The sequence below is a fragment of the Homo sapiens genome, chromosome 10 (genome assembly GCF_000001405.40).
Source record: "Homo sapiens chromosome 10, GRCh38.p14 Primary Assembly".
NCBI lineage: Eukaryota > Metazoa > Chordata > Mammalia > Primates > Hominidae > Homo > Homo sapiens.
Window position 1 is genome coordinate 124,262,363 of NC_000010.11, and position 10,204 is coordinate 124,272,566.

At 54.4% G+C, this 10,204-nt stretch overlaps 1 annotated feature.

Moving 5' to 3' along the window:
• Positions 7,442 to 7,943: an enhancer, noted in NCBI's record as "H3K4me1 hESC enhancer chr10:125958373-125958874 (GRCh37/hg19 assembly coordinates)". NCBI's record gives its function as "activates a minimal SCP1, AML or CMV promoter by ChIP-STARR-seq in naive H9 embryonic stem cells {active_cell/tissue: H9 hESC(naive)}" and the evidence as "EXISTENCE:reporter gene assay evidence [ECO:0000049][PMID:30033119]".

Sequence of the window (10,204 nt, forward strand, 5' to 3'; positions counted from 1 at the left end):
TATTACGGTCTTTCCCTCTCAGCAAAACCCTGCATGAGAGCAAGGGCCAAGCCTGGGTTTCCTTAGCAATGTGCACCCCCTGCTGAGCAGTGCCTGGACACAGTAGGCACGCAGCACTAAGGCCCTTTGGGACCCTGCCCAGGGCCTCCTGGATGCCCGCTGCCCACTTGCTGTGTGGCAGGGCAATGCCTCATTCCTGCCAATGCAGGAGGCCCTCAGAGAGAAGTATGCCTGGGAGCAGAATCCCACCATGCCCCATGAGGCAGCTCGGAGCACAGAACACCCCCACCGTCATCACCTCCAAAGCCCCTCAGCTGGCAGATGCCACCCAGCAGGACATTGGGCAGCAAATATTGGGTCATCAAAGGCGTGTGGACCGGTACGGTTTCTCAGGCTTGCCCTGGGAGGATCCATCCGTCCTCACTAGCAGTGTCTGGCTCAGAGGCCTCGCCTGCCTGTTCCATGGATCAGGGGCCCTCATATCCTGCAATGGGCCCATCTTCGTGGGTCATGGGCTATCTCTGAAACGTCTAGAGGTAAAAGAGTGACCCTAGCCCAGAGCGAAAGACAGGGCAGACCCTAACTGAATCCATGTCCTTGGTCTTCATCTGACTTTCCTCCAAGCCGCTGAGCTCACTGCCCACTCCAGGAAAGACAAGGACTTTGATCATTCCTCCTAGCCCTAAAGCCCACGACTCCAGACCATGCCAGCCACACTCATCCGTCCACCCCAGGAAGGGCCCAGCTGGCCTGCCTGCCTGTGTCTCTCCAGAATCCTACAGACAGTTCCAAGCCAGGCTCTTGGCTTCCTCAGATCTGCCCCTCTGAGGGACTTCTGCTTTCCTGAAATGCATTTGCCATTGTCAGGGATGCCGGCCACAAGCAGATGCCTGGCACGGACTCACCAAGGGAGAGCTGCTCCTCAACCCCGATGCCTCCAGACTCGAATGTTCTCCTTAGAGTTCATCAAATGAAAACCCTAGTCTTGAGGGGGAAAAGCCTCTTAGGAGGTTAATAGCGAGTGGATAGAGCAATAAATGTAATGATTTAATTCTTCAAGGATGGCTAAACAGACTGCTGTTTACCAAAGTCTTCGCAGATAATTACTAACAGATAATTACAAAAACCTGCCGAATCGGGGCTGCCCCAGAAATGGCCATAGCCCCAATCCGCTTTGCCAAGCTAAGCTAATGGGTTGATTCCACAGAGAAATTCCACACAGGTCGCTTTCTGGGAAAGACACCAGGCAAGAATTTCCACTGCTCTCTCTCTCTCTCTCTCCCTCCCCTCGCCTCCTCTCCCTCTTTCCTCTCTCCTTGCTCCATCCCTCACTGAGGCCTGTTTCTATCACCCCTGGAATGCTCTCCCATGTTGTGACCTGTCTCCCTGGAGAGGGACCATAATCATTTTAGGCCAACTTCTCAAATAGCCTCCTTTCCTTCTCAATCTCCAGTTAGCAGACACGGGGCAGTGGGACATTCACTGCAGAGGAACAGCTCTGGGTCGGGCTTTGGTGAAGGGGTTCAGAGGGGCACCTGTGGCTTGAGTCTACCCGCAGCTGTCTGGCAAAGAGAAGGGCATCCTGAGGTTGGCGGGGAGGTGACCCATAGGGACCACCTAAAGCCACCTGGACAGGAAGTTCGTTCCAGACCCTGAGAAAAGAAAGGAACAAGGTGTGTAACCCATATAGCATGTGAGCCTCCTTGGGCCTGTCCTGCTCTCCCCCTAAGAGGTCACTGGGTTTCCCACCCAAGGGCCCCCTCCCACTCCAAACATACCCACTCCCAGAGAGAAGTCCAACTCCAATAGCACTGGTGAGTCTGGCAGATTTCACTGAAATGTTCATGGGGAGGTAAAGGAAGAGATGACCCTGCACATCTCAATGCAAAATGTCTTTAAAATCCCTTGTTAATATCTCTGCGTATTCTCCGAGCTCTCCTCCTACTGCAGCTGCCTCATCCCAGAGACACATCTCTGCTCCTCCTCTTTCTCAGCCTCTGCTGCTCCACGGGCTCAATCTGGATCAGGGGCCACATGTGCCTGTCCTGTGGGCCAGGGGCGCATCTGATTCTGCAGTTGACTCACATTCACCGTAATGGCCTGGGGCTGTCTCTGCCCTGGGCCTGAGTCCTCTCTGCAGGTAAAGGTGTTCTTTATGATCGTCCAGTCCACACCATCAATGCCACACTTGCAGGCCCTGTAGCACCCTTCGGAGTGTGGTCCTTCAGCTGCAGAAATGCAGAGCTTCCTATGCCCAAGGCCTCCAGTGCTGTAGCAGGCTGGCACAGGAGAAGGTTTCCCCTACACTGAGCCAACAGTGGACCCTCGACTTTTGGAACCCAAGACCCTTGGAGAGCACAGAACAGTCTCCTCTTTTCCTCTAACAAGTCTTCAAACATCGAACATGCTTTTTCCGTCCTTCACTGACTCAGCTTCTCTCCAGGTGGAAGGTGGGACCCTGCAGTCCTTCCTCGCTGCCGGGGGGCAGGTCCCTCGACACCAGGGCCACCCTCCACGGAGCAGTCACCAGCTTGAGCTGCCCTTCTCCAGAGGTGGTGCCAAGTGGGCTGCAGGGATCTAGTGTGGTCCTGCCACGCAGAGGGCAGCAGTACTGCCCACTCGTTCCCACCCGGGCCCTGTTCCTGCCCACTTCTCCTCCCGTAGGCATCTGTCCCACCATGACAGTGAGGTCCCCGGCTCTCCAGGGCCTGTTGAGGTGCAGTAAATGAAGCCTACTCAGATCAGCTCACAACAGTGGACTTAAACCACCGGCATGGGAACACATCAAGGAACCCAAGAACTGAGGAAGTGTGGGAACGGGCAGTGGGGACCAGACTCTGCTTGGAAGGAGCCACTGCCTTCTCGAGCCACTGCCTTCTCAACCCCCACTCGCCCTACCCAGGGCTGTGCAGATCCTCACCCCCTCTCGGGCCCTCAGGCTCTCATCCTCCCTCTCCTGCAGATCTTCTGCCCCTGCACCTGCCTCAAACACTCCGATGTGCATGGCTGTCTCCATTCCAGTGCCACCATCCAACCAACCAACATCTCTGATCCAATCCCAAATTCCCTGGATTTGAATCTGATTGGATCCCCCTAGATCAAGCCCCCTCTCTCATCCAATCAGTGGTAGCCCAGGAGGGGCACGTCCCAGACATGGCCTTGGGGCCCTCCCAGTGGAGGGTGTGGGTATGCAGACCCCCAGCCATGTGCTATCTAGGCTGCTGACTCCATCCCTCCACCTCCCCACCCCAGCCCCCTGCACTCACACAGTAGACCCCTTACAGGACTTGTCCCCTTCTTCCTGAATCCTCTCCTCTGCCAAGATTGTCCCTCTCCCCAGTCAATGGATCTTGTTTTAATCCTAATTCTGGCTTCCAGTATAAATGCTCTCTCTCCATCCTGTGCTGTTCCTAAATCTGATGCCTGTGTCTGCTGGGTCCCTGGCTAAGCTGAAAACCACTGGCCTAGCCAAGGCTGGACAAGGCCTTGGTGGGGCAATGGTGGTTTCCCACCCAGGGCTCTGGAACCTGGAATTTGACCCACTGGACTAGAGACCTTGTTCCTGCTGCTGTTGCCCCTACCGGCTCTGTCCTTCCCACCACAGCCCTGCTCTCCAATACCCACCCCTGCCTGACTCCCAGCCCCAGCACAGTGCCCAGAACATCCGGGCTCCCCAGTGGCTGCCCCAGGCCCAGTTGCTTTCAGGTGGTGCTGTTCCACCCTCCCCCAGACCCGGGACACACCTCTGCCTTGGAGCCTCCCTGGGGAACCTTCCTAGAAGACAGGAAAGGACATTCACTTCCACTCGAGTTATCCTGACATCAAACCTGGCTGTGCAGAAAGAGCAGGTTCCTTCAGCTGGGGAACAGCCCTGCATGACGGAATTAGTGCCACTCCACGGCGCCTCCAGAAACCATGCCCACTGCCCACCAAGAGCCACGAGGAGTACACCGGGTCCTGAGAATGCACATCCCCTGCGGTGCAGCTTCCCCAGCCAGGAGCTTCGCAGGTATGCCCTACAGGGAGGAGGAGCTCTTCCACCAGCCCGGCAGCCCCCAGGTTTCAGGAACCATTTCAGCCACCTTAGCAGGGCTCATGTTCAAGTTTAGACTAACAGTTTCATGACCACATTTTTAAAAATTCTATTACTAATTCAGCTTCTATGGGGAAAAAAAAAAAAGCCCAGCTTGATTTTCTAACTTGGTTTTTCAAGAAGCTGGGTAAGACTTCCCTATCTGACAGCAATGAGTAAATCATTACTCAGCACCTTGGAAGGACATTCTAGAGCTCCAGAGAGCTTTCGGGCCAGGAAGGTGTGCTGGGGAGCTGGACTCCTCTGACCACATTTTCCAGAAGTAAGCCCTTTACCTTGGTCTGCTCAAGGTACCGTGGTGTCGTGCAAGGGTAATGAAGGGACTGCGATGGAAGCCGGGCGGGAGACACGCCCTGGGACAGGAGGCTCAGGCCTCACTCCGTACTCTCTTCTCCACCAGCTGGAGGCCCTCCAATCTCACCATGCCCTAGGGACAGACAAACGGCATGTGACAGACACCCCCGGTGCCCCTCGAGGCACCCACCCCTGAGCCCACCTCTGCCTCAGCATCTTGGTGGCAGGCGCTAGCTGACCTCACACTCCCTGGCCCTGAAAGCATTGGTCTCACACCTGCCTCGTGCGTGTCTCCAGGCACATGGGAGTCTGCCCAGGCCAAGCACACACAGCTGGAAGTGTGGGGGTGAAGTCCCCAAGGGCAAACCTCTGACCAGGGGTGTCGTGAGCCAGTGGGTAAGCTGTCCTCTGCCCTTCCAGTGGACAATTTTGTCCCTACCCAGGAGGTCTCAATGGTGTCAAGCCTCAGGGCCCACAGCAGCAATCTCAACAGCCCTTGTGTTCGTGTTTCCTCCTCCTATTCCTACTCTCCACACTCCCATGCCTCCACTTTTTGGGATCTGCTCCGATAGCCCACCTGCACCCAAGTCTCAGGCCTGGCCTTCCAGGAACCCAAACTAAGATGCCATCTCTCTGCACACCACAGGGACACAGGGCCTCACGCGAGGCTGCCGCTGAGTCAGCTCTCCATAAAAACCTGCCAGAGGAATCAAGGAAGCTCCTGTGTCCTTCCTGGGAGGTGGTCCTTACAGGAAAGTCACACAGCAAATCTGTCATATGAACAGGGTTTCCTGACATGCAGGCCTCTCTCTGCCAGCCTCAAGCTTCACTTCAGCGAGTGCAGTCCCCCTAGGCTGGCGACACTGAGCGCTTCCAGCTGTCAGAGCCCATGGCATTGGCTGCCATCCATGCTGCAATCCACAGGCTATTAAGGGAGGCCCAGAGAGGCCAGAGCTGGGCCTTGTCACTGGCCCACAGAGTTCCTGTTACTACAGTCACCACCCAGACACTCATTATCCCCCCTCTGAGGCCTGCAAATGGCCCTGCCAGGGAATGTGGGGGTCATGATTGCTTTTTACTCAGTATCCGACTCAGGGCTAGGACATGGCTGTCTCTGAGGCTGGAGGTACAGCAAGGAAGGTTCCCACAGGTCCACATCAGAGGCCTGGACACAGATGGGGGCACAGCCCAGACCAGTGCACCCTTCCAAACCCCTTCCAGAAGAGCCCATTGGAAAGAAAAATTGGTCCCTCTGGGGACCCAGGAATTTGGACACAAGTGTCCCCGAGCAGGAGGCAGGGGCACCAGGAGGCCTGCACAGGAGGAAGGAGCCTGGCCAGAGGTCCTGAGCCCAGGGAACCCCTGCTGGCTCTGTCTGGCAATTCCTTTCTCCCTCCCAACGTGAAATGACGGGCTTTGGGCAAGACCCCCAGAGGTGAGTCCAGCTCCGACAACTGTTTCCAAAAACACAACCCCAGAGCACCAGGTCTGGGAGACAGACAGATGCTCCATGGACAAGGTGTTCATTGGTCTAATGTCCTTGAGAAGCCCTGCACACAGGAGGCCCCTCTTGAAGACTGACTTGGCTAAAGGCCCTGAGATGTCCTGCAGCACAGAGCCCTGTTTAACGAGTAGAGTCCAGACTGTCCCTAACTTATGTGACCACAAAAACCTTTTTTCCAAGGACATCTCCTCTTTCTAAAGCACAGACTGAGCACTGGCAGTGCAAGCCATTTGATTGGCTATTACCAAGGTTGCTCCGAGGAGTCTGTCTCCTTGGGATGCAAGGTGGAAAACATCCGCATAGAAAAACAGGTGTCTCCGGATGCTGTTCCTGAGACAATGCTCTAAGGAACAAATTAGGGAAACACCTGAAGCCTTGAGGGGAAACTTGTTTCCACTGGTGATTTATCTGCAGGTGGTCAGGGCGGAGATGGAGGCATCAGTAGCTGCCTGGCCTTCAGCTTTCGAGTCCCTTCTCCCACCAGTGAAAGCAAGGGCTGGGGGAAGACCTCCAGAGGCCAGCCCAGCTCTGACAATTATTCCCCAAACCATGACCCCAGCGGGGTAGAGATGGACAAGTTGAACCCAATATGTCCCAAGTGAATCTTACCTTCCTGGCCCCAAATCTGCCCTTCCTCAGGTGTCCCCATCTCAGGGAAAGCCACTCCCATCTCCCCAGTTACCCCAGACAGAAATATGAACATCATTGCCTTCCCACTCATAACACACCCCATTGCCACTCCCATCTCCAAGTCCTATTAGTGCCACCTGTTAAACAGCTCCCAAACACATCCCCTCCTCCCCATTTCCTGTCACTAGGCACCTTTTACTGAGTGCCTACTATGTGCAGATGCAAAGCCACCACCTCCATTCTGCCCATCATCTCCCGCAAGGAGCATCTGTTACAAAAGCTTCCCCCAGGCAGAGCTCTGCCTGCTCCTCTCCCCTTCAAGCTGCCACGGGAGCCTCCTCCCAAATACAGAGTGGGCCCGCTCCCCTGGGGCCATGTCCAAATTCCTAAGAAGCACACATGGCCCCACATGACAGGGCCATGGTGTCTGCCTCTGTGGCCCCTCTGACACTCATCTTTACCTCGACGCTAAGTGCTGAGAGTGCACACAGGATGAAGATGACAGACTCTTCTGAACAGGAGGGTCCTCTGCGCTCCTTCTCCAGCAGAGGCCAGCGTGTTCTCTGGTCACCTCCTTCCATGCTGTCTTCCCTATGGGCCTCAGCTTGTGCCTGAGAGGCCGGCCCCTCAGCTGCTTCTTGGAGCCTCTCCTGAGCCAGACAGGAGCCCGGGTTTGCCTCCTATGAACATGGCTCGCTTCTTCTTGTGATAATCATCCAATCAACAAACTGCCAACAAAAGTGCCCTACCGCACGGGGCTGTTGTGAGGACCAGCAAGGTAACAGATGCAAAGCGCCATCCTGGCGCATAGTGTGTGCTCAATATATGTTCACTCTCAAGAGTCAGCCCATCTCTGGGCAGTTAACATCTCTGAGCCTCAGTTTTCTTGTCCATAAAATGGGAATGATACCCATACCTGGATCAAGGAATTATTGTGAGAATAAACGCTATAATGACCCTTCAGTGATGTAACTGGCACAAAGGCTCCTGTGATTATTATTACCTCCTACCTCCACCTCACTGCCCGCTGTGGGGAGAGATCCCAGCCCCACTTGTACTAAGAGCTGCACACAGGATGAAGATGACAGACTCTTCTGAACAGGAGGGTCCTCTGCTCTCCTTCTCCAGCAGAGGCCAGCGTGTTCTCTGGTCACCTCCTTCCATGCTGTCTTCCCTATGGGCCTCAGCTTGTCCCTGAGAGGCCAGCCCCTCAGCTGCTTCTTGGAGCCTCTCCTGAGCCAGACAGGAGCCCGGATTTGCCTCCTATGAACATGGCTCGCTTCTTCTTGTGATAATCATCCAATCAACAAACTGCCACGTCCAGGTTGGGCATGGTACCCTCACCCTAAAACCACCAGCAAGCAGCGCGGCACACCTGGCTCCTCCTTCTCAGACGCACTGCCCCACCCAGCTCCCGAGCCCTCCAGCCTCACCTTCCCCAATTGCCCCAGGAAATCCTCCTCCGCCTTCCAGGCTGACCTCACTCACCCCTCCCAACACCACCCTTGGCCTTCCCATCCCTGGTGACCGGCTCCATCCCCTGGGTTCTCATGGTGCCTCTTTTTCATTCCTATTAGAGATTTTGCAAGCTGCCACGGGATGCCCGAGGGTGCCAAGCTCTGTGCTGGGAATGTCCCCTTCACCTAAAGCTCATCCATCAAAAATGTAATTAGAGAAGTAACATCCCAAGAAAGTGGCAGGCTGGGACCCACACCCAGCCTGCCCAGCCCCCTCCTTCCCTGCTGCACCATGAGGCAGGGAGTGGGACCGCTAACATGCGGTCTAACACCAGGCTTCTGTCTGCAGGAAGAGAATCCTGCATTAACTCTCCCCGCCCACAACAAGGTCACATCTCCCTGGCTCATCCTCTCCTGCAGCATTTCATCTTCACAGTCACCCCCCTTCCCTACCTGATGGGGGAAATTAAGCCATCGAAGCTGTTCTCACTGAAGGAAAGTGGCAAGTGTTCATCCTGAATCCCAGGTGCCATTGGCTCTTCCCAGGCCCTCTCCAAATGAGCCCCAGCATTCTTTCCCCAAGGAGACACAGAGCCCCCCTCCTGGGGCTGAGGTCTTCCCACAGAGGACAATACCCCACCCTCAAAGTAGACAGGCTCTAGGCCAGGCTGTCACTATGGGATCCCCCAGTGTGTGCCTTCCGAAGCCCAGAGAGGTTCCAGAGCCTGGATGGTTATAAACATTCCCATAAATCATAGATTTCAGCAGAAGCACATGAGCTCCCAGAGGCGCACAGCTGCGCAGCCCCTCCCCCAGGGGCCACCTTCCATGCAGGAGGCTGCTCTGATACAAGGTCATCCATGCAGCTACAGGGAATGTAGCAGAGCAGAGGCAGAAGCGATGGCAAGCCTTGAGCCCAGGTGGCCTCCAAGGTCCTTTCCAAGGCTGATGCTCAATCACTCTGAACACCTCAGAAGAAGAGTCTGTTAGCTCCAACCCATGGTGGTGCAGACTTCTCTTCCCCTGTGATATAGATTGGCTCTGTGTCTATCTATAGATCTATATCAAGGTGTCAATCTCACCTTGAATTGTAATAATCCCCATGTGTCTTGGGAGGAACCTGGTGGGAGGTAATTGAATCATGGGGGTGCATCTTGCTCATGCTGTTCTTGTGATAGTGAATAAGTCTCATGAGATCTGATGGTTTTATAAAGGGGAGTTCCCCTGTACATGCCCTCTTGCCTGCCATCATGTAAGACATGACTTTGCTCTTCCTTCATCTTCTGCCATGATTGTGAGGCCTCCCCAGCCATGTGAAACTGTAAGTCTAATAAACTCTTTCCTTTGTAAATTACCCAGTCTCAGGTATGTCTTTATTAGCAGCATGAGAGCAGACTAATACATCGACCTTCCATCTCAGATGGTGTGAGGAGACCCAACCTACAAGCTATAAATAGAAATGCCAGAAAAGTTGACGGGTGTCTCCACCAATCACGGAGAGTGCATTTCCACTCCTGACACACCAGCCTGCCCATCTTCCTTCCTGAGTGACTCATGTGTGGCCCATGTGGCCCTACTTTTTGTTTTTGGAAGCACAGACTTTGACCATGGGTGATGGTGAGTAAGTACAACCTCCTGCCTTGTCTTTGAGTGACTGACTGGTTAACTTGTCCCCGCCAGGCCACTCTTTGAGGATGGGGATCAAATATGTCTACACAGTCCTTACTGGGACAGACCCAGGTGGGTGTGGAAGAGGGCTGACATACCAGCCACACCAATCAAGAGCATCCTCCAAGGCCTAGAAGAAGAACAAGTGTGTTTCATCTGGATAAAGGGGAGGGGTTCATCCAGAGACTGCTGTTTACTAACCACACCTAAAATGCAGTGTATCAATTAGGAATGCATTTAGCTGCAAGTAACAGAAAATCCAACTAATAGTGGCTTAAAGAATAGGGGTTATTTTCTTACATTAAGGAGAAACCTGAAGGGAGGTGTTCCCTGACATGCGTCTCATGGTTCAACAATCACGACTTCGTAGCCTCCTCCTCACAGTCACAACATGGCCATCACAGATCCAGGAACCAAGAGCACATTCAAAGCAGGAAGAAAAGAAGGGAGCAACAAGCTGGCCTGAGTTTGCAAGGAGACTGGGAGAGTGGGTACTGAGATTTTTCCATCCTCTATGGTAGAAACAGGCAAGCCTATGGTGTTGGGACTTGGTGTCAG